This window comes from Homo sapiens, chromosome 19 (assembly GCF_000001405.40).
Source record: "Homo sapiens chromosome 19, GRCh38.p14 Primary Assembly".
NCBI lineage: Eukaryota > Metazoa > Chordata > Mammalia > Primates > Hominidae > Homo > Homo sapiens.
This window is the reverse complement of record NC_000019.10, coordinates 41,639,885-41,664,528: the sequence shown is the minus strand read 5'-3', so window position 1 is coordinate 41,664,528 and position 24,644 is coordinate 41,639,885. Positions and strand designations below refer to the sequence as shown.

The 24,644-nt window shown below is 43.8% G+C and overlaps 1 long non-coding RNA gene across 1 annotated transcript; it reads left to right on the top strand.

The window, feature by feature from the left end:
• The first annotated feature begins 1,278 nt into the window (after positions 1-1,278).
• LOC105372405 (uncharacterized) lies at positions 1,279-23,208 on the top strand. The gene is made up of 3 exons (XR_935972.1): positions 1,279-1,318; positions 12,898-13,027; positions 22,671-23,208. It is a non-coding gene; the product is annotated as an uncharacterized LOC105372405 (long non-coding RNA).
• Positions 23,209-24,644: the final 1,436 nt, after the last annotated feature.

The window sequence follows — 24,644 nt, the reverse complement described above, 5'->3', positions numbered from 1 at the left end:
CATGTGGCTTGCCAATTATCCCAGCACCATTTGTTGAATAGGGTGTCCTTTCTCCACTTCTTGTTTTTGTTTGCTTTGTCAAAGATCAGTTGGCTGTAAGTATTTGGGTTTATTTCTGGGTTCTCTATTCTGTTCCGTTGGTCTATGTGTCTACTTTTATACCAGTACAATGCTGTTTTAGTGACTATGGCCTTATAGTATAGTTTGAAATCAGATGATGTGATGCCACCAGATTTCTTCTTTTTGCTTAGTCTTACTTTGGTTACATGGGCTCTTTTTTGGTTCCATATGAATTTTCAGATTGTTTTTTCTAGTTCTGTGAAAAATGACGGTGGTATTTTGATGGTGATATGGTTTGGCTCTGTGTCCCCACCCAAATCTCATCCTGAATTGTACTCCCATAATTCCTACGTGTTGTGGGAGGCACCTGGTGGGGGGCAGTTTCTCCCATACTGTTCTCATGGTAGTGAATAAGTCTCATGAGATCTGATGGTTTGATAAGGGGAAACCCGTTTCACTTGGCTCTCATTCTCTTTTTGCCTGCTGCCATCCACATAAGATGTGACTTGCTTCTCCTTGACTTCTGCCATGATTCTGAGGCCTCTCCAGCCATGTGGAACTGCCACAGGGGCAGGGCTGCCCAAGACCATGGATACCCGTATTTTGCATCAGCATTACCTGGATGTGAGACATGCAGTCAAAGGAGATCATTTTGGAGCTTTAAGACTCGACTGCCCCCCTGGATTTTGGACTTGCATGGGCCCTGTAGCCCCTTTGTTTTGGCCAATTTCTCCCATTTGGAATGGCTGTGTTTACCCAATGCCTGTACCTCCACTGTATCTAGGAAGTAGCTAATCTGCTTTTGATTTTACAGACTCATAGGTGGAAGAGACTTGCCTTGTCTCAGTTGAGACTTTGGAATGTGGACTCTTGAGTTAATACTGAACGAGTTAAGACTTTGGGGGACTGTTGGGAAGAAATGATTAGTTTTGAAATGTGAGGACATGAGATTTGGCAGGAGCCAGTGGTGGAATAATATGGTTTGACTCTGTGTCCCTACCCAATTCTCATCTTGAATCATACTCCCATAATTCCCATGTGTTGTGGGAGGGACCCAGTGAGAGATAATTGAGTCACGGGGGCGGTTTCTTTCATACTGTTCTTGTGGTAGTGAATAAGTCTCATGATATCTGATGGTTTGATAACAGGAAACCTGTTTCTCTTGGCTCTCATTCTCTTTTTGCCTGCTGCCATCCACATAAGATGTGACTTGCTTCTCCTTGACTTCTGCCATGATTCTCCCCAGCCACGTGAAACTGTGAGTCCAATTAAAGCTCTTTCTTTTTCTTTATTTTTAAAAAATTATCCTTTAAGTTCTGGGATACATGTGCAGAACGTGAAGGTTTGTTACTTAGGTATAAATGTGTCATGGTAGTTTGCTGCACCCATCTACCCGTCATCTACATTAGGTATTTCTCCTAATGCTATCCCTCCCCTAGCCCTCCACCCCTGACAGGCTCCAGTGTGTGATGTTCCCCTCTCTGTGCCCATATGTTCTCATTGTTCAACTCCCATTTATGAGTGAAAACAAGCGTGTTTGGTTTTCTGTTCCTGTGTTGGTTTGCTGAGAATAATGGTTTCATTTCATGTCCCTGCAAAGGGCATGAACTCATTCTTTTTTATGGTTGTATAGTATTCCATGGTGTATATGTGCCACATTTTCTTTATCCAGTGTATCATTGATGGGCATTTGGGTTGGTTCCAAGTCATTGCTATGGTGAATAATGCTGCAATAAACATACGTATGCATGTGTCTTTATAGCAAAATGATTTATAATCCTTTGGGTATATACCCAATAATGGGATTGCTGGGTCAAATGGTATTTCTGGTTCTAGATCTGTGAGGAATCACCACAGTGTCTTCCACAATAGCTGAACTAATTTACATTCCCACCAACAGTGTAAAACATTCCTATTTCTCCAATCCTCTTCAGCATCTGTTGTTTCCTGACTTTTTAATGATCACCATTCTAACTGCCATGAGATAGCATCTTACTGTGGTTTTGATTTGCGTGTCTCTAATGACCAGTGATGGTTTGGCTCTGTGTCTGTTCATATGTTTTTTGGCCGCATAAATGTTGTCTTCTTTTGAGAAGTGTCTGTTCATATCCTTTGCCTACTTTTTGATGAAGTTGTTTAGTTTTTTCTTGTAAATTTATTTAAGTTCTTTGTGGATTCTGGATATTAGCCCTTTGTCAGATGGATAGATTGTAAAAATTTTCTCCCATTCTGTAGGTTGCCTGTTAATTTTGCTGATAGTTTCTTTTGCTGTGCAGAAGCTTTTAGTTTAATTAGATCCTATTTGTCAATTTTGGCTTTTGTTGCCATTACTTTTGGTGTTTTAGTCATGAAGTCTTTGCCCATGCCTGTGTCCTGAATGATATTGTCTAGGTTTTCTTCTAAGGGTTTTGTGATTTTAGTTCTTATGTTCAAGTCTTTAATCCGTCTTGAGTTAATTTTTGTATAAAGTGTAAAGAAGCGGTCCAGTTTCAGTTTCCTGCATATGTCAAAGATCAGATGGTTGTAGATGTGTAGTGTTATTTCTGAGGCCTCTGCTCTGTTCCATTCGTCTACGTATCTGTTTTGGTACCAGTACCATGCTCTTTTGGTTACTGTAGGCTTGTAGTATAGTTTGAAGTCAGGCAGCATGATGTCTCCAGCTTTGTTCATTTTGCTTAGGATTGTCTTGGCTATGTGGGATCTTTTTTGTTTCCATATGAAATTTAAAGTAGTTTTTTCTAATTCTGTGAAGAAAGTCAATGGTAGCTTGATGGGAATAGCATTGAAGCTATACACTACTTTGGGCAGTATGGCCATTTTCACGATATTGATTCTCTCTATCCATGAGCATGGAATGTTCTTCCATTTGTTTGTGTCATCTCTTATTTCTTTGAGCAGTGGATTGTAGTTCTCCTTGAAGAGGTCATTCACATCCCTTGTAAGTTGTATTCCTAGGTATTTTATTCTCTTTGTAGCAATTGTGAAGGGGAATTCACTTATGATTTGGCTCTGTTTGTCTATTATTGGTGTATAGATGTGCTTGTGATTTTTGCACATGGATTTTGTATCCTGAGACTTTGCTGAAGTTGTTTATCAAGGAGTTTTGGGGATTAGACAATGGGATTTTCTAAATATACAATTCATGTCATCTGCAAACAGAGACAATTTGACTTCCTCTCTTCTTATATAAATACCCCTTTTTTCTTTCTCTTGCTGATTTCCCTGACCAGAATTTCCAATACTATGTTGAATAGGAGTGGTGACAGAGGGCATCCTTGTCTTCTGACGGTTTTCAAAGGGAGTGTTTCCAGCTTTTGCCCATTCATTATGATACTGGCTGTGAGTTTGTCATAAACAGCTCTTATTATTTTGAGATATGTTCCATCAGTACCTAGTTTATGGAGTGTTTTTAGCATGAAGTTGTGTTGAATTTTATCAAAGGCCTTTTCCGCATCTATTGAGATAATCATGTGTTTTTTCTCACTGGTTCTGTTTATGTGATGGATTACGTTTATTGATTTGCATATGTTGAAACAGCCTTGCATCCCAGGGGTGAATCTGACTTGATCATGGTGGATAAGCTCTTTTTATGTGCTGCTGGATTCAGTTTGCCAGTATTTTATTGAGGATTTTTGCATCAATGTTTATCAGGGATATTGGCCTGAAATATTATTTTCTTGTTGTGTCTCTGCGAGGTTTTTGTATCAGGATGATGCTGGCCTCATAAAATGAGTTAGAGAGGTGTCCCTCTTTTTCTAGTGTTTGTAATAGTTTCAGAAGGAATGGTACCAGCTCGTCTTTGTACCTTTGGTAGAATTTGGCTGTGAATCCATCTGGTGCTGGGCTTTTGTTGGTTGGTAGGCTATTACTGCCTGTCTCAATTTCAGAACTTGTTATTGGTCTATTTTTTTTTTTGGTTGGTAGGCTATTAATTACTGCCTCAATTTCAGAACTTGTTATTGGTCTATTCAGGGATTTGACTTCTTCATGATTTAGTCTTGGGAGGGTGTATGTGTCCAGGAATTTATCTATTTCTTCCAGATTTTCTACTGTATTTGCATAGAGGTGTTTATAGTATTCTCTGATGGTAGTTTGTATTTCTGTGGGATCAGTGGCGATATCCCCTTTATCATTTTTTATTGTGTTTGTTTGATTCTTCTCTCTTTTCTTCTTTATTAGTCTGGATAGTGGTCTATCTATTTTGTTAATCTTTTTAAAAAACCAGCTCCTGGATTCATTGATTTTTTGAAGGGTTTTTCATGTCTCTATCTCCTTCAGTTCTGCTCTGGTCTTAGTTATTTCTTGTCTTCCACTAGCTTTTGAATGTGTTTGCTCTTGCTTCTCTAGTTCTTTTAATTGTGATGTTAGGGTGTCAATTTTAGATCTTTCCCACTTTCTCATGTGGGCATTTAGTGCTACAATTTCCCTCTAAACACTGCTTTATCTGTATCCCAGAGATTCTGGTACCTTGTGTCTTTGTTCTCATTGGTTTCAAAGAACTTATTTATTTCTGCCTTAATTTTGTTATTTACCCAGTAGTCACTCAGGAGCAGATTGTTCAGTTTCCATGTAGTTGTGCGGTTTTGAGTGAGTTTCTTAATCCTGAGTTCTAATTTGATTGCACTGTGGTCTGAGAGACTGTTTGATATGATTTCCGTTCTCTTGTATTTGCTGAGGAGTGTTTTACTTCTAATTATGTGGTCAATTTTAGAATAAGTGCTATGTGGTGCTGAGAAGAATGTATATTCTGTTGATTTGGGGTGGAGAGTTCTGTAGATGTCTATTAGGTCTGCTTGGTCCAGAGCTGAATTCAAGTCCTAAATATCCTTGTTAATTTTCTGTCTCTTTGATCTGTCTAATACTGACAGTGGGATGTTAAAGTCTTCCACCATTACTGTGTGGGAGTCTAAATCTCTTCTTAGTTATCTAAGAACTTGTTTTATGAATCTGGGTGCTCCTGTATTGGGTGCATATATATTTGGGATAGTTAGCTCTTCCTGTTGAATTGATCCCTTTACCATTATGTAATGCCTTTTTTTGCCTTTTTTGATCCTTGCTGGCTTAAAGTCTGTTTTATCAGAGACTAGGATTGCAACCCCTGCTTTTCTTTGCTTTCCATTTGCTTGGTAAATCTTTCTCCATCCCTTTATTTTGAGCCTATGTGTGTCTTTGCACGTGAGATGGGCCTCCTGAATACAGCACACCAATGGTTCTTGACTTTTTATCCAATTTGCAATCTATGTCTTTTAATTGGGGCATTCACCCCATTTACATTTAAGGTTAATATTGTTATGTGTGAATTTGAGCATGTCATATGATGTTAGCTGGTTATTTTGCCCATTAGTTGAGGCAATTTCTTCATTGTGTCAATGGTATTTACATTTTGGTTTGTTTTTGCCGTGGGTAGTACTGGTTTTTCCTTTCCATATTTAGTGTTTCCTTCAGGAGCTCCTGTAAGGCAGTCCTGGTGGTGACAAAATCCCTCAGCATTTGCTTCTCTGTAGAGGATTTTATTTCTCCTTCACTTATGAAGCTTAGTTTGGTCAGATATGAAATTCTGGGTTGAAAATTCTTTTCTTTAAGAATGTTGAATATTAGCCCCCACTCTCTTCTGGCTTGTAGGGTTTCTGCAGATAGATTTACTGTTAGTCTAATGGGCTTCCCTTTGTGGGTAACCCGACCTTTCTCTCTGGCTGCCCTTAACATTTTTTCTTTCATTTCAACCTTGGTGAATCTGACAGTTATGTGTCTTGGGGTTGCTCTTCTCAAGGAGTATCTTAGTGGTGTTCTCTGTATTTCCTGAATTTCAATGTTGGTCTGTCTTGCTAGGTTGGGGAAGTTCTCCTGGATAATATCCTGAAGTGTGTTTTCCAACTTGGTCCCATTCTCCCCTATCACATTAAGGTACACCAATCAAACATAGGTTTGGTCTTTTCACATAGTCCCATATTTCTTGGAGGCTTTGTTGATTCCTTTCATTCTTTTTTCTCTAATCTTGTATTCACACTTTATTTCATTAAGTTCATCTTCAATCTCTAATATCCTTTCTTCCACTTGATCGATTCAGCTATTGATACTTGTATACGTTTCATGAAGTTCTCATGCTGTGTTTTTCAGCTCCATCAGATTATTCATGTTCTTCTCTAAACTGGTTATTCAAGTTAGCAGTTCCTGTAACCTTTTATCAAGAGTCTTTGCTTCCTTGCATTGAGTTAGAACATGCTCCTTTAGCTTAGAGGAGTTTGTTATTACTCACCTTCTGAAGTCTACTTCTGTCAATTTGTCAAACTCGTTCTCTGTCCAGTTTTGTTCCCTTGTTGTGATCCTTTGGAGGAGAAGAGGTATTCTGATTTTTGGAATTTTTAGCCTTTTTGTGCTGGTTTATCCTCATCTTTGCGGATTTATCTACCTTTGGTCTTTGATGTTGGTGACCTTTGGATGGGGTTTTTGCTTGGGCATCCTTTCTGTTGATGTTGATATTATTACTTTCTGTTTGTTAGTTTTCCTTCTAATGGTCAGCCCCCTCTTCCGCAGGTCTGCTGGAGTTTGCTGGAGGTCCACTCCACACCCTGTTTGTCTGGGTATCACCAGTGGAGCCTGCATAACAGCAAAGATTGCTGCCTGCTCCTTCCTCTGGAAACTTCATCCCAGAGGGGCACTCACCAGGTGCCAGCCAGAGCTCTCCTGTATGAGGTCTCAGTAAACTCCTGTTGGAAAGTGTCTCCCAGTCAGGTGGCACGGGTGTCAGGGACCTGCTTGAGGAGGCAGTCTGTCCCTTAGCAGAGTTCAAGTGCTGTGTTGGGAGATCTGCTGCTCTCTTCAGAGCTGGTAGGCAGGAACGTTTAAGTCTGCTGAAGCTGTGCCCACAGCCATCCCTTCCCCCAGGTGTTGTTTCCCAGGGAGATGGGAGTTTTATCTATAAGCTTCTGACTGGGGCTGCTGCCTTTCTTTTAGAGATGTCCTGCCCAGAGAGGAGAAATCTAGAGAGCCAGTCTGGCTACAGTGGCTTTGCCATGCTGCTGTGGGTTCTGCACCCAGTTTGAACTTCCTGGAGGCTTTGTTTACACTGTGAGGGGAAAACCATCTACTCAAGCCTCACTAATGGTGGACGCCCCTCCCCCCACCAAGTTCAAGCTTCCCACATAGACTTCAGACTGCTGTGCTGGCAGCGAGAATTTCAAGCCCATTGATCTTAACTTGCTGGGCTCTGTGGGGGTGGACTCCACTGAGCAAGACCACTCAGCTGCCTCACTTAAGCTCCCTTTCCAGGGGAGTAAATGGTACTGTCTCTCTGGTGTTCCAGGTGCCACTGGGGTACAATAAAAACTCCTGCAGGTAGCTATTGTCTGCCCAAACAGCCGCTTAGTTTTGTGCTTGAAACCCAGGGCCCTGATGGTGTAGGCACCCAAGGGAATCTCCTGGCCTGTGGATTGCAAGGACCGTGTGAAAAGCACAGTATATGGGCCAGATAACACCATCCTCACAGCACAGCCTTTCATGGCTTCCCTTGGCTAGGGGAGGGAGTTCCCCAACCCCTTGTGCTTCCTGGGTGAGGTCATGCCCCACTTTGCTTCTGCTCACCTTTCATGGGCTGCACCCACTGCCTAACCAGTCCCAATGAGATGAGCTGGGTACCTCAGTTGGAAATGCAGAATCACCCACCTTCTGCATTGGTCTCACTGGGAGCTGCAGACCAGAGCTGTTCCTATTTGGCCACCTTGCCATACCCTCAATTAAACCTCTTTCTTTTGTAAATTGCCTAGTCTCAGGTATGTCTTTATCAGCAGCATGAAAATGGACTAATACAGATAGGAATTGCATTGAATTTGTAAGTTGCTTTTGGCAGTATGGTCATTTTCCCAATATTGATTCTATCTATGCATGGGCATGGGATGTGTTTCCATTTGTTTGTGTCATCTATGATTTCCTTCAGCAGTGTTTTGTAGTTTTCCTTTTACAGATATTTCACCTCCTTGGTTAGGTATATTCCTAAGTATTTTATTTTATTTTATTTTTGCAGTTATTGTAAAAGGGGTTGAGTTCTTGATTCAATTCTCAGCTTGGTCACTGTTGATGTATCAGAACTACTGATTTATGTACATAAATTTTGTAACCTGAAACTTTGCTGAATTCATTTATCAGTTCTAGAAGCTTTTTGAAGGAGTCTTGATGGTTTGCTAGATGTACAATTAAATCATCAGCAAACAGTGACAGTTTGATTTCCTCTTTATTGATTTGAATGCCCTTTATTTTTTTCTCTTGTCTGATTGCTCTGGATAGGACTTCCAGTACTATGTTTAGTAGAAGTGGTGAGAGTGGGCATCATTGTCCTGTTCCAGTTCTCAGAGGGAATGCTTTCAACTTTTTCCCATTCAGTTTTATGTTGGCTGTGGCTTTGTCATAAATGGCTTTTACTACATTGTGGTATGTCCCTTGTATGCCGATTTTGATGAGGATTTTAATCATAAAGCAATGCTGGATTTTGTCAAATGCTTTTTCTGCATCTATTGAGATGATCATGTAATTTTTGTTTTTAATTCTGTTTATGTGATGCATCACATTTATTGACTTGTGAATGTTAAACCATCCCTGCATCCCTGGTATGAAACCCCCTCGATCATGATAGATTATATCTTTTTGATAAGCTGTTGGATTTGGTTAGCTAGTATTTTGTTAAGAATTTTTGCATTTATGTTCATCAGAGATATTGGTCTGTAGTTTTTTTTTTTTTTTGGTTGTTGTTATGTCCTTTCCTGGTTTTGGTATTGGGGTGATACTGGCTTCACAGAATAATTTAGGGAGGATTGCCTCCTTCTCTATCTTGTGGAAAAGTGTCAGTAGGATTTACACCAATTATTCTTTGAATACCTGGTATAATTGTGCTGTGAATCTGTTTGGTCCTGGACTTTTTTTTTTGTTGGTAATTTTTTGGTTACCATTTCAATCTTGCTGCTTGTTACTGGTCTGCTCAGGGTTTCTAACTCTTTCTAATTTAAGCTAGGAAGGTTGCATCTTTTCAGGAATTTATCCACCTTTTCTAGGTTTTCTAGTTTATGCACATAAAGGTGCTCATAGTAGCCTTGAATGATCTTTTGTATTTCTGTGGTGTCAGTTGTAATATCTTCTGTTTTATTTCTAATTGAGCTTATTTGGATCTTCTCTCTTCTTTTCTTGGTTAATCTTGCTAATGGCCTATCAATTTTATTTAACTTTTCAAAGAACCACGTTTTGTTTTATTCATCTTTTGTGTTTCTGTTTGTTTGTTTCAATTTCATTTATTTCTGCTCAGATCCTGGGAGACTTGTTTTGTGGCCTATCATATGGTCTATCTTGGAGAACGTTCCACATACTGGTGAATTGAATGTATATTCTGTGGTTGTTGGGTAGAATGTTCTGTAAATATCTGTTAAGTCCATTTGTTCCAGGGTATAGTTTAAATCCATTGTTTCTTTGTTGACTTTTGGTCCAGATAACTGGTCTAGTGCTGAAAGTGGAGTATTGAGGTCCCCACTATTATTGTGTTGCTGTATCTCTCATTTCTTAGGTTTAGTAGTAATTGTTTTATAAATTTGGGAACATAAATTTAGGTGCATATATATTTAAGATTGTGATGTTTTCCTGTTGGATAAGGTCTTTTATCATCATATAATGTCCCTTTTTGTCTTTTTTAACTGCTGTTGCCTTAATGTTTGTTTTGTCTGATATAAGAATAGCTACTCCTGCTTGCTTTTCATGTCCATTTGCATGGAATGTCTTTTCCCACCCCTTTACCTTAAGTTTATGTGAGTCCTTGTGTGTTAGGTGAGTCTTTTGAAAGCAGCAGATACTTGGTTGGTAAATTTTTATCAATTCTACAATTCTGTGTCTTTTAAGTGGAGCATTTAGGTCATTTACATTCAATGTTAGTATTGAGATTTAGAATTTTTTTAACTGTATTTTTGTTTTATAGGTCTTGTGAGATTTGTTTCAAAGACATTCTGTTTTGATGTGTTTCCAGGATTTATTTCAAGATTTAGAGCTCCTTTTTAGCAGTTCTTGTAGTGGTGGCTAGGTAGTGTCAAATTCTTTCAGCATTTGTTTGTCTGAAAAAGACTGTATCTTTTCTTTATTTATGAGGCTTAGTTTTGCTGGATACAAAATTCTTGGCTGATAATTGTCTTTTTTTTAAGGAGGCTGAAGATAGGGCCCCAATTCCTTCTAGCTTGTAGGGTTTCTGCTGAGAAATCTGCTGTTAATCTGATGGGTTTTCTTTTATAGGTTACCTGGTGCTTTTGCCTCGCTGCTCTTAAGATTCTTTATCTTGACTTTAGATAACCTGATGACAATGTGCCTAGGTGATGATCTTTTTGCATTGAATTTCCCAGGTGTTCTTTAAGCTTCTTGTATTTGGATGTGTAGGTCTCTAGGAAGGCCAGGGAAGTTTTTCTTGTTTATTTCCCCATATATGTTTTCCAAACTTTTAGATTTCTTTTCTTCCTCAGGAATACCAATTATTCTGAGGTTTGGTTGTATAACACAATACCAAGTTTCTTGGAGGATTTATTCATTTTTTAAATTCTTTTTTCTTGTGTTTGTTGGATTGCATTAATTTGAAAACCTCATCCTTGATATCTGAAGTTCTTTCTTCTGCTTGTTCAATTCTATTGCTGAGACTTTTCAGTACATTTTACATTTCTCTAAGAGTCTTCTTTATTTCCTGAAGTTTTTATTGTTTTTCATTTATGCTATCTGTTGCACTGACAATTTCTCCTCTCATATCTTGTGTCATTTTTTTGGATTTCCTTGAATTAGACTTCACCTTTATCTGGTGCCTCCTTGATTAGCTTAATAATCTATAGTCTGAATTCTTTTTCAGGCAAATCAGGGATTTCTTCTTGGTATGGATCCATTTTTGGTGAGCTAGTGTGATTTTTTTTTTTTGGAGGGGGGTGTTAAAGAACCTTGTTTTGCCATGTTACCAGAGTTGTTTTTCTGTTTTTCTTTTTTTGTTTTTTTGTTTTTTTTTCATTTGGGTAGGCTATGTCAGAGGAAAGATCTGGGACTCAAGGCTGCTGTTCAGATTCTTTAGCCCCACAGGGTGTTCCCTTGATGTAGTACTCTCCCCCTTTTCTGAGGGATATGGCTTCCTGAGAGCTGAATTTTAGTGATTGTTATTTCTCTTCAGGATCTAGCCACCTAGCAAGGCTACCAGGCTCCAGGCTGGTACTGGGAGTGTCTGCACAGAGACCTATGATGTAAATCATCTTCAGATCTCTCATCCATGGATACCAGCACAGTATTTGGGCTGTCTCCTGGGTCCTGCCGGAGCAATCTGCTTCTTTCAGAGGATCTGTGGATTCTCTCAGCTTTCCTGGTATATTCCTGCAATAGTTCTGGAGCAAGAGTTCACAATGTGATTCTACACACCACTCTGTCCCTCTGAGCTGGAGTTGCAATGTAGTCCTGCTTCCTGTCCACCATCTTCCCACAAATACCTTTTAGTGACAGATAATATCTAGGGAAATTTTTAATTCTGGCATGAAGAGCCCAAGTGGAAAACATGAAAATCAATATATAGTTGAGAATCTCTTCTTTCAGATTCAAATCCTGCTTGGCTCCTTACATGTACATCTCCTAGCACATGAGGTATAATGCAGTGTGATCAGAACTGTCATAGGAGATAGCTCCACACCTCTGGGATAGCTGCCGGGAATTGGGACAGCTGAAGAACATGGAGCTGGAGCTGAAGCTGATGGCTCCTCAGTGGCTGAGGATGTGCTGGAGGACAGTCCTGTCCAGGGGCAGCACCGGCAGCATTTTGGGGCATCCCCTTGAGTGCTAAACTCTTGTGTTTCAGCGCGCTGAGGGTGTGGGGTGGGCTCAGCCCACCCAAGAGGTGCTGCTCTGGCTTGCTGACCACAGAAACCCAAAGCTCGCAGTGCACTCGCTGCCTTCAGCCCTGACCATGGGGTCACTGCAGGTTTTTCCCTCCCTTCTTGAATTTGTATTCATCTGTCTTTGTCTTGTTATGTACATTTATGTTTATGGAGGGGATTCCCTGAAGGGCTTGTTATCAGAAGCTCAGCAGGCCTAACTCTGGGAGCTGTTTATCTGGGTAGTCACATTTGGTGAACTCTGAAGGAATCGCTAGTGGAAACTCAGCCAGCCTAACTCAGGGTGACAGTCACTTTCCCATCTTTCCCAGAGACTACCCATTGAACTCCTGGTCAGAGGTTATATCTTCATACCCTGAATGGATCAAAGATGATAGGGGCCAACAAGGGCAAGTTTGAGCTTTGTCAGGTTGATACATGGGTGCTGAGTTGGGTGACTAGTGTCTGTGTTTTGTTATGTGTATATCACTTCAGCCAGAATGGGAAATGTTAATTTGGCTCTCCTGTGCAGCCCATTGGGCTGCATCTTGCAAAATTGGGAGGCCTTTTGCTTATGATTCCATGAAGTGGAAAAGGATGATTTTCTTTTATAACATGGCTTGACCCCAACTCTGGTCTTCTGGAAGCCACAGACAAAGGGAATCCAGGAAGCTGACAAGCTGGCAAAAGGGTAGGAATAACTGTTTGTCTCCTCTATAATGTTTTAATTAATTTAAAAATTTAGAAAAAAATCTTCTGTAAGCTGAACACTGCCTGCTCTAGATTACTTCTGGGAATAGCAATGGAGACTGCCCTACACTGTAGCTCAGTGGCTAAGGTTTGCCCTCTCACTGCAGTGGACTGGGTTTGATGTCTGGCTCAGGCAGATTTTTCTGGTTTGATATCTCTGTGACTTTTGCCATTTATTGATCTTATCCCCTTTCATGGACAGCTTCTGATTCCCTGTCTTGAATTTTCCTTTCAGTGAGCTATCTTTGGAATGAGCAGCCTGCATTCAGAAATTGAAGTTGACTTATAGAGCCAATAAAAGCCCCTTGGAAGAGCTGGTCTTGTACCTTGTCTATGCAGTTCCTTTACAGGATTTCTGATGTGAAGTAAGTAAAGAATGCCACTTTCTGATAGGCCAGGAACCCCAAGTTACTTTGGGACCTTGCAAAGAGAGGAATTCATCCAGTTCATACAGGTATCTGCAGGCTCTATTAGGATGAGCCCACCTGTGTCTCAATAGCCTGCATATCAAGGGCTCCTGCTTACCGGGACATTTTGTAACTCCCTTCTCAGCCTATCTTCATGGTGATAAATTCCACTGATTTCCCCATAGAACAAAACGAGGACTTCAGGCAGACATCAAGATACCTGGTGGCAGAGCCTTCTAGGGATATTTGTTCCTAGTTATGGTGTTTATGGCAACAGAGACATGATCAGGAACCTGTCTGCTACCTTCGGATTGATTGTCTAGAAGAAACTGCAAAAACCCTTAGGGTTCAACAAAGTTCCTTCAGTTTGCTAGCTCACGTAGTCCTAGACAATCTGTTGGTGCTTGATTTCCTGTTGGCTAGACAAAGGGGAATTTGTGCAATATGAAACACCACTTGTTGCACCTATATAAACACCTCAGGAGAAGTTGAAATCTGGATAGAAAGAAATTCCCAAGAAACTTCATGGTTACAGCAGGTCTTTACCGGTGACCCCATGTCTGATTGGTTCTCGGTGTTATTTATCTGGATGCCTTAAAATTTCAGATCAGTTCCACAAGAACTCTTGAGACTTGGGCTTTCACTCTTTATATTAGGGCTCAACACTTACAGTCTGCTGTTCACTTAAGTACTGTGCTGCGGCTGGGGATGTGAATACTAATATCCTTGTCATGCAAAACTTGGGTCCCCAACCAGGCATTCGTGAATATAGGAAGACGACAGCAAGACAGTTTCATTTCTCCTATCCTGGAATAAACCCCAATGATGCCCCCTATCATCAGGAAGAAGTTAGAGTGGTTATCAACCCCTTCCATCTCATCATCTGCTCACACCTCAGGAATAAGGAATGCTTAAGCCCAGGGGGAACTGAAACCACCCTTGGAAAATTTTAATAGTGAGAGAAATCCAATGTAACTGGCTCCATCTTGCTTCTAACTTCACAAACTATCCACCTTTGCTTATTCCTGTACATAGGCCAGCCTAACTATAGAAGGAATTTATAGTTTAACTAATCCCCTTCTTGTTCTGGAATTGAAACCAACTTTGTAAAACAAATGAAATGTTGCAAGGTTAGAATTATGGTAGGGGCCTGAATTTAGCTAAGATATAGGCAGAGTTAAACAGCAAACAGTCATTGTTCCCCATCTTTTTTTTTGTTTTTATAATTACCTGCTGCTCAGGAGTCACGTAGCCAGTGGGCACAAGATTTATATGTTCTTTAATTGCTCCTATAGATTATATTGCTATTGTGAAATTTAAGGCTGGAGTTTGAGATATTGTTTAGACTTTGCATTCTGGTGGATCAATTGACACCACCCAGACTGTTGACCTACACTAAGAAACTGACTCAACTGGTCCTGTGAGCTCCACCCAGGAACTTACTCAGTGCACAAGACAATTTTGACACCCGATGATTTCATTTCCAGCCCAACCAATCAGCCGTGTCCATTTCCTAGTCCCCTGCTCTCCAAACACTCCTTTAAAACCCTAGTCTCCAAATTCTTGGGGAGGCAGATTTGAAAAATATCTCCCATCCTCTTTGCTTGGCCATCTTGCAAGTATTAAACTCTCTGCTGCAACACCTTCTGTCTTATTTTTTTGTTTGAGGAATTTTATCTCCTACATTTCTGGAAAGCACATCGTCTAATCTGTTACTTAACAGTAAGGCCAGCATCACCTCACCTGCTCTTGCCCTCAGATGGAAACACTGACCTGGGACTAAAGTGCAGACCACCGGGCTGAGTACCCTGGCCTGAGCCATCCCCAGAGATCAGGAGCCTCCAACCGGGAAACTTCCATACAGTCTTCAAATGACTTACAGCTGCACCAACAATCACAATGAAAGTTCTAATCTCTTTCCTCCTTCTGTTGCTGCCACTAATGCTAATGACCATGGTCTCTAGCAGCCCAAGTCCAGGTGGATAAGATTAATTGCCTATGAATGGAAAAAAGGGAGGAGAAAATGTGGCATAGTGGGCCACACATGCATCAAAATGTAGCTTCTTTCAGCTACAGGGGATTAGGGCAAGTTAGTCTTTTCCAGTGCCAGCTTCCTCCTTTATCAAAAGAAGTAAACTGTACTTATATACAAACGGTGTCAAGAGAGTTAAGATACTGTATGGGAAAGTGTCCACAACGGTAGCTGGCAAATACACACACACACACACACACACACACACACACACACACGCTAGCTCAACAAATATTTGCTCTCTTGCCTTCTCCTCTAACCCCTTTTCCAGAAGAGTAATGCATTTCTCTGGGGCCAAACATGGTGGCAGAGGTGGGAGGTTGTTAAAGGCAACTGTACATGTATAGAAGGTCAGGAAATCCTTACTTATAGTCTTTACAGTGTACCATACATGCCACAAACATGTCTTAATGCTATTTAATGGTAAAGTAATAAACTAGAAAAATCCTGTCACCAGGTAGTGTCCATATTTGCAACTTTATCCATAGCAAGTCCTGCTGTAGCAACTCACCTTTAGGGTAGCAAACCTTTGCTTAGGGGCTTCAAGTCTGCTCTGGGTTTTCAGTATAAAGTGGCCCAGGCTTTCACAGAGCAACCACGCAGAAGAGAGCTCACCCCATGTAAATTTTCACTTGGGAACACCATCTACCCAAGGGCCACTTTGATGTGAAATGGGTTTGTCACATACTCAGCATGAAATTGGTCCTAAAATCAGGAGATGTTCACCCTCCTACACTACAATTTCCAATGTCCCCTCCTTTGTAGAGAGAGCACTCGGGAAACTGCTGAGCCCCGTAGCCCTACGGTCTAGACAACCATTCTGAGAGGAAAGGCTTTTCCATCTCTGTGACAGACACCCAGGCTTGAGTCCTTAGCCTGGACTCAAAGCTCTAGCCCCAACCTGCTTTTCCAGCATTTCCCTCTCTACTCAATAAAAAAATACTCTCTCCCCACCCAAACTAGACTTTTTGCCCTTCCCTGAACAGGTCTTGTGTTTTCCCATCAGCTCAACTTTGCTCACACACCCAGCTCAAAACCACCTTTCCACAGCTTCCCTCAGTTTCTCCCACAGCCAGACATGTGGTCTCCCTCCTGAGAGCTGGCCTAGCCCTACTGGACACTCTGTTCTTGACACTTATCATCTGCTGCCTTATGTTGAAGGCCTTCATGCGCCTCTCCTGCCTCCAACCCCTGACCTTCTAGGCTGCAGCCTCCTTGGCAGCACAAAGTGGTGCACTGTTTCCATATCCCTCACGTTGTCCAGCTCAGTACTTGGCAAACATTAGCTAACTGCAAGAATGCATCTTCAGGTTTCTAAGTCCAACCAGGGCTTCATAGCAGTTCTGCTGATATTTGGGCTGAACAATTGCTTGTGGTGGGGGCTGTTCTGTGCCTTGTGCATTGTTCAGCAGCATCCACGTGGCCTTTCTTCACTAGATGCCAATAGCAGCCTTCCATCTCTCCCATCCCCACCCCTGTTATGAAAACTAAAAATATCTCCAGACATTGCCAACTGTCTCTGTGGGGGAAACCACCCCCAATTGACAACACCTGCTCTACACCAATACTTCTCTACCTGGATACACATTTAGATTCACCTAGACATTTATACTCAGCCTGGAAGTCAGGGGGACCTAGGTCCAAATTCTGGCTCTGCCACTCCCTTTGCAACCCTGGGCAAGTTGCTTTACTCTTTTGAACCTCAGTTTTATCATCTTAAGAGGATTAAATACTCCTTCTTAGCCAGCTTTGGTGGCTCAAGCTTGTAACCCCAGCACTTTGGGAGGCTGAAACAGGAGGAGCACTTGAAGCTAGGCATTTGAGACCAGCCCTGGCAACAAAGTGAGACCCTGTCTCTAGAAAATTTTTTAAAAAATTAGCCAGGTGCGGTGGTGTGCCCTTGAGGTTCCAGCTACTGGAAGGCGGAGGCAGAGGGTTATATGAACTGGAGGTGGTTGAGGCTGCGGTGAGCATAGTTGCACCATTGCACTCCAGCCTGGATGACAGAGCGAGGCCCTGTCAAAATAAATTAATAAATAATAAATAAAATAAATGTTAAAAATACCACTTCTTACAGAGACATGTTGTGAAGATTAAAGGATCCACAATGTGAGCTAGAAAGCGTTCAAGGAATAGACTGAGTGGAATTTCTAAAGTCGCTCCTACCAACTTAAGTGCCCCTCAACCAACAAGTGGATAAAGAAAAGGTGGTATATATACAACATGGACTACTAACTCAGCCATAAAAAGGAAAGAAATTATGGTCTTTTGCAGCAACTCGAATGGAGCTGGAGGCCATTATTCTAAGAAACTCAGGAATGGAAAAACAAATATCACATGTTCTCAATTATAAGTGGGAACTAAACTATGAGAATGCAAAGGCATCGGGATAATGTAATGGACTTTGGGGACTTAGCGGGAAGGGGTGGGAGAAGGGTGAGGGATTAAAGACTACACATTGGGTACAGTGTACACAGCTTGGGTGATGGGTGCACCAAAATATCAGAAATGACCACTAAAGAACTTATCCATGTAACCAAAAACTATTGAACTAACAATATATAAAATAAAATAAAATAAAATAAAATATCGCTCCTAAAGCACGAGGTTGAGGAACCGGAAAGCTCGCTGCGCCGCCAGGGGGCGCCATCACAAACCGCGTGGGGTGGGTGGCAGCCTGGCTCAAGCTTTGTTTCTCAGCCAAGCAAAGTTTTGCAATCCGGCCTGAATTTCAGCTACTGTTAGTGGCTAAAGGAAATAATAGCTCCTCTATCCCTAAAATAATTCTCAAAATAAAATCTAATCTTATTTTATGTCTTTTTTTTTTGAAACGGAGCCTTGCTCTGTTGTCCAGGCTGGAGTGCAGAGGTGCCATCTCTGTTCACTGCAACCTCAGTCTCCCATGTTCAAGCGATTCTCCCTCCTCAGCCTCCCAAGTAGCTGGGATTACAGGTACGCGCCTACCACACCCGCTAATTTTTGTATTTTTAGTAGAGGCGAGGTTTCACCATGTTGGCCAGGCTGGTCTCCAACACCTGACCTCAAGTGATCCGCCTGCCTTGGCCTCCCAAAGCACTGGGATTACAGGTGTGAGCCACCACGTCAGACCTAATCTTATATCTTTTTTTTTTTTTTTTTTAAAGGACATATCATATTTATTCATACACATGCTGGAATTATTGGTGCAGACATTTAAATACATTTTCTTTGAGAAAGTCCTTTTTTTTTTTTTTTTTTTTGATGGAGTTTCCCTCTTGTTGCCCAGGCTGGAGTGCAATGGTGCAATCTCAGCTCACAACAACCTCTGCCTCCTGGGTTCAAGCAATTCTCCTGCCTCAGCCTCCCAAGTAGCTGGGATTACAGGCATGCACCACCACGCCCAGCTAATGTTTTTTATTTTTAGTAGAGACGGGGTTTCTCCGTGTTGGTCAGGCTGGTCTTGAACTCCTGATCTCAGGTGATCTGCCCGCCTTGGCCTGCCACAGTGCTGGGATTACAGTCGTGAGCCACCACAGCTGGCCTGGGAAAGTCCATTCTTTTTTTTTTTTTTTTTTTTTTTTAATTTATTTTTTTATTGATAATTCTTGGGTGTTTCTCACAGAGGGGGATTTGGCAGGGTCATGGGACAATAGTGGAGGGAAGGTCAGCAGATAAACAAGTGAACAAAGGTCTCTGGTTTTCCTAGGCAGAGGACCCTGCGGCCTTCCGCAGTGTTTGTGTCCCTGATTACTTGAGATTAGGGATTGGTGATGACTCTTAACGAGCATGCTGCCTTCAAGCATCTGTTTAACAAAGCACATCTTGCACCGCCCTTAATCCATTTAACCCTGAGTGGACACAGCACATGTTTCAGAGAGCACAGGGTTGGGGGTAAGGTCACAGATCAACAGGATCCCAAGGCAGAGGAATTTTTCTTAGTGCAGAACAAAATGAAAAGTCTCCCATGTCTACTTCTTTCTACACAGACACGGCAACCATCCGATTTCTCAATCTTTTCCCCACCTTTCCCGCCTTTCTATTCCACAAAGCCGCCATTGTCATCCTGGCCCGTTCTCAATGAGCTGTTGGGCACACCTCCCAGACGGGGTGGTGGCCGGGCAGAGGGGCTCCTCACTTCCCAGTAGGGGCGGCCGGGCAGAGGCGCCCCTCACCTCCCGGACGGGGCGGCTGGCCGGGCGGGGGGCCGACCCCCCCACCTCCCTCCCGGACGGGGCGGCTGGCCGGGCGGGGGGCCGACCCCCCCACCTCCCTCCCGGACGGGGCGGCTGGCTGGGCGGGGGGCCGACCCCCCCACCTCCCTCCCGGACGGGGCGGCTGGCCGGGCAGAGGGGCTCCTCACTTCCCAGTAGGGGCGGCCGGGCAGAGGCGCCCCTCACCTCCCGGACAGGGCGGCTGGCTGGGCGGGGGGGCTGACCCCCCCCTCATCCTCCCTCCCGGACGGGGCGGCTGGCCGGGCAGAGGGGCTCCTCACTTCCCAGTAGGGGCGGCTGGGCAGAGGCGCCCCTCACCTCCCAGACGGGGCGGCTGGCCGGGCGGAGGGCTGACCCCCCCACCTCCCTCCCGGACGGGGCGGCTGGCCAGGCGGGGGGCTGACCCCCCTACCTCCCTACCGGACGGGGCGGCTGGCCGGGTGGGGGGGGCCCCCCCCCACCTCCCTCCCAGATGGGGTGGCTGCTGGGCGGAGAGGCTCCTCACTTCTCAGACGGGGCAGCTGCCGGGCGGAGGGGCTCCTCACTTCTCAGACGGGGTGGTTGCCAGGCAGAGGGTCTCCTCACTTCTCAGACGGGGCGGCCAGGCAGAGACGCTCCTCACCTCCCAGACGGGGTCTCGGCCGGGCAGAGGCGCTCCTCACATCCCAGATGGGGCGGCGGGGCAGAGGCGCTCCCCACATCTCAGATGATGGGCGGCCGGGCAGAGACGCTCCTCACTTCCTAGATGTGATGGCGGCTGGGAAGAGGCGCTCCTCACTTCCTAGATGGGATGGCGGCCGGGCGGAGACGCTCCTCACTTTCCAGACTGGGCAGCCAGGCAGAGGGGCTCCTCACATCCCAGACGATGGGCAGCCAGGCAGAGACACTCCTCACTTCCCAGACGGGGTGGCAGCCGGGCAGAGGCTGCAATCTCGGCACTTTGGGAGGCCAAGGCAGGCGGCTGCTCCTTGCCCTCGGGCCCCGCGGGGCCCGTCCGCTCCTCCAGCCGCTGCCTCCCGGGCGGCGCTCGCCGGCGCGGCGGCAAAGACTGAGACAGCTCCGCTGCCCGCTGAACTCCATCCTCCCGGCGGTCGGGCGGCGGCGGCTGCGGTCGGTCGCGGCGGCGGCTGCGGTCGGTCGCGGCAGCGGCTGCGGTCGGTCGCGGCAGCGGCTCCGCTTCATATCTGCAGCTGGGGCCCGCGGGCGTCAGCGCCGCGACTGTCCTGGCTCCGCACTGCCCCGGGCCGCAGCGCAGCCGCGCCAACCACCAGCCGCGGCCACCATGGCCAGACGGGCTCCCTAAGCCACCGACCCCAGCCCGCGGCGCCTTCGACCCTTCTGGGGCCTCCGGCGCCGCGACCTCCTCTAATCTTATATCTTAAAATAACCAAGTACATGCTCTATATGGATTTAACAGCAGAGAGGAAAAAAATATGAGAATATATGAGGACATTAGGAAATAAATTACTTATAATAACAGATTACTCTTTCCTTATAACATTACTTATTAATTATAAAAGTACTTATAATAATAGCTGACATGTTAAGAACTCCTATGTCACAAGCATTGTTCTAAGCACTATACACTCATTTTGGCCTCACAGAAATCTAAAGCATTTTTAAAATTTTGACTTTTCATTTATCACGTTTATTTATTTAATCTAATTAAATTAATTAATTAATTAATTAATTATTTTGAGATGGAGTCCTGCTCTGTCGCCCAGGCTGGAGTGCAGTGGCGTGATCTCGGCTCACTGCAAGCTCTGCCTCCCGGGTTCACGTCATTCTCCTGCCTCAGCCTCCCGAGTAGCTGGGACTACAGGCGCCCGCCACCACGCCCGGCTAACTTTTTGTATATTTAGTAGAGATGGGGTTTCACCGTGTTAGCCAGGATGGTCTCGATCTCCTGAACTCGTGATCCGCCCACCTCGGCCTCCCAAAGTGCTGGGATTACAGGCGTGAGCCACCACACCCGGCCTCATTTATCATGTTTATTTTTAAACATTCAAAAATCTTTAAAAATAGGGTTCCAGTTTATCCTTTATCCAGCTTTTTTTTTCAAATAACATCTTCTATAACTAATATAATTGTTCATATCAGGGAACTAGCATTGGTGCAATAACATTAACCAAGGGGATCTACAAATATTCAAATTTTGCTAATCATCCCACTCATGTCCTTTTTCTGCTCCCAAATCCAATCCAAGATCTGACACTGAATAACACTGTCACATCTCCTAGGCCTCCTCCAACCTGGGGGAGTTTCCCACTCTTTCCCTCTCTCAGGACCTTGACACTTTTGAGGAGGTCTGGTCAGTTGTTTTGTAGAATGCCTCTCAATTTGGGTTTGTCTCCTGTTTCCTTGGGATGTTTTAGGTTATGCATTTTGGGTAAGATTAGCACAGAAGTGATGTGTCTTTCTCAGGACATCCCACCTGGAGCCCCAGGATGTCCATATCTCTCATTACCGATGAGGTTCACTTTAAGCGCTTGGTTCAGGTGGTGTTTGCCAGGTTTCTCTACTATAAAGTTACTATTCATCTCATTGTAATTAATAAGTATCTTGTGGACAGATACTTTGGGAACAAACCAGTAGCCTGTTTCTTCTCACCTTACTTCCCCTGACCCCTCCTTCATACTCAATAGTTACAGCATCATCTTACCTTTACCCATTAATTTTTAGAATCTGTGGATGGTTCTTGATTCTGGCCTATAAACAATTATTACTGTGGTGTTAGCCAAATAGTGATTTTTTATTTCCATAATTCCTTCTACATTTATTAATTGGAATTCTGCTATAAGAAAGAGCTATTTCTTCTTCCTTATTTATTTCTTTGTTCAATTATTTATATCAGCATGGACTCATGGATATTTATGGGTTGGAATCCATTGCTATCATTATTATGTTGCTCATGTTGTCCCAAAATTGGTAATTCTAAGCTCCCTGTAATCTTTTGAAACATTCCCATAATTTTTCGAGTGGTTCCTTACTTTCTGGCCTCACAAAAAGCTCCGGGCTTCTCTTGTGCTTTCCTGCCCCAGCCCTGGATCAGCTATTTCTCCAGGGAGCCCTGGTTCCTTTCATGGGAGAATGATGTTGGTAAACCATGGGCACCGACACATCCATTGCCAGTGGGTGCCGATGCTCCTACGCCCTCTAGTGGTCAGAGCTGGGAAATAACACTCACACTAGTGTACTGGTAAACCCCACATTTTACAAATTAGGTAAATGAGGAAAAGTTAGGCAACTTGATCAAAATCACAGAGCACATAGGTAGTGGAACTGGGAAATGAAAACAATGGCAGACGCACCACAAGTCCTAACAAGTGGAAGTAACTCTTTCTTTTCTCTCTCTCTTTCTTTTCTTTTTCATTGACAGAGTCTTGCTCCGTCATCCAAGCTGGAGTGCAGTGGTGCAATCATAGCTCACTGCAACCTCCACCTCCTGACTGAAGCAAATCTTATTCCTAACAGCTTGCAAAGTGGATTTTATCATCATCATTTTAAAAATTATGGAATCGAGGATCAAAGAAGCCAAGTGACTCGTGCAAGATGACACAGTTAAGTGACAGAACCAGTAGTGAGTCCCAGGTCTCTCTGGATATAAAAAGTCCATGGTTATTCCACTGTATCAGTGTTTCCCAAAACTGACTTTAGGTGGAACATAAATAAGCTTTTAAGAAACTTTAATAGTTATATGTTTATTTTAATGCATGTTAGAAACAATTTTAAGCAAATTCACAAAACCTTTAATTTCATGGACAATATTGCAAAGGACGGGGATGTTTTGTTTCAAACTCCTGGCTTCAAGTGATCCCCCCATCTTAGCCTCTCAAGTACCTGGGATTACAATGTAAGCCATTGCACGCTGCTGGGACAAGGGTGTTTTGTAAAGTAAATTTATTTAGAAAAAATGTATGAAGTCAATAATAATAAAGATGGTACAAACTGTAGAAAACATTATAGAGATGGTCTATAAATATCTGAGGCTTGGGAGACATAATACTATAGCACCAGGCAGCTTCATCTTCAGTTATGTCTATAAAATTAAAGTCTCATAGTGCTGCATAAAGGAAAACTAAGAATCTTAGACATGGGTTTTAGCCCCATGTGTGCATTTCTAGGAACCCTCTCCCTGGACATCTCTGTGACCTCCTTGTTGGGAGTAAATCCAACTTTCCCAGCCATTAGAGAACACTAGGAAGACTCTGAATGCACAGAGGGGTTTCTGTGTCATAGAGGAAAAAGCTGGGTTGGGGGACCCTAGGGACTCTCTGCGTGGTGCATAAGAGATCCACACCCAGGACACAGCAGAGGTCAGCGCAGAGGAACGCAGCTCATCCTGTTATGGTACAGCGGTCCAAATAAGAGTTGCTTCTCAAAGCATGTTCTGGGGGAGCCAAAATGTAGACAGAAGTGAAGGAAAAGGCAAAGAAAAAGGAGGCAAGTGTGAGAAGGGAGGGGACAGAGAAGCATCCTGGGCTGAGACCACACCTCAGGCCCACCTGGGAAGTGCCCTGGGAGGAGTTTCAGCACAAACAGCACAGCTGACAGTCAGAGCAGCCATGCTTGGGAGCATTTCTGGAGCCCAAGCTCTTCTCCACAGTGGAGGACAGAGCAGGCAGCAGAGACCCTGGGACCCCCTCAGCCCCTCCCCGCAGAGGATTCATTCCCTGGCAGGGGCTCTTGGTAATAGGTGAGGGGAAGATTCTCTGGGAGTGGGTGGGAGGAGGGAGAATAGAGACTGGCAGTGGTCTCCTGGGGAGGGCAGGGCTCTGAGAGGGATCGAGGGTTTCTGCTGAAGTGGGAATAAGGGAGAGGACACCAGCCTCCATCATAGCTGAGACTACAGACACTTGCTACCATGCTCTGCTAATTTTTTAAAAAATTGTTTTAGAGATGGGGTCTTGCTATGTTGCCCAGGGTGGTCTCCAACTCCTATCCTCTAGCAATCCTCCCTCTATGGCCTCCCAAAGGACTGGCATTACATGCCTGAACTATTGCACCTGGTGCCTTTATTTTTTATAAAATATTACAGCCTGCCTGCTGGCCATTCCTCAGGCTAGCAAGTGCAGCTTCCTGCAGAGACCAATAGCAGGCACTTGAAGGAGGGAGGGTGGAACAGGGTTTGACGCTGAACAGGTTGGCCAAGTAGACATTCAATAGGGTTTAGGAGGAGCTATTAATATTCATGAAGGTTTGACTTACACAAGTTTGATAAGAAAACGTGCATGCTATATGCGTTCCATGTTCACTATGGAGTAATCAGGGTGCCCCATAGGGCAGTCTTCTCTCTGTTATCTGCACAGTAGAGCTTACAAAGCCCTCCATCAAGGCAACAGGACCCCCGTGG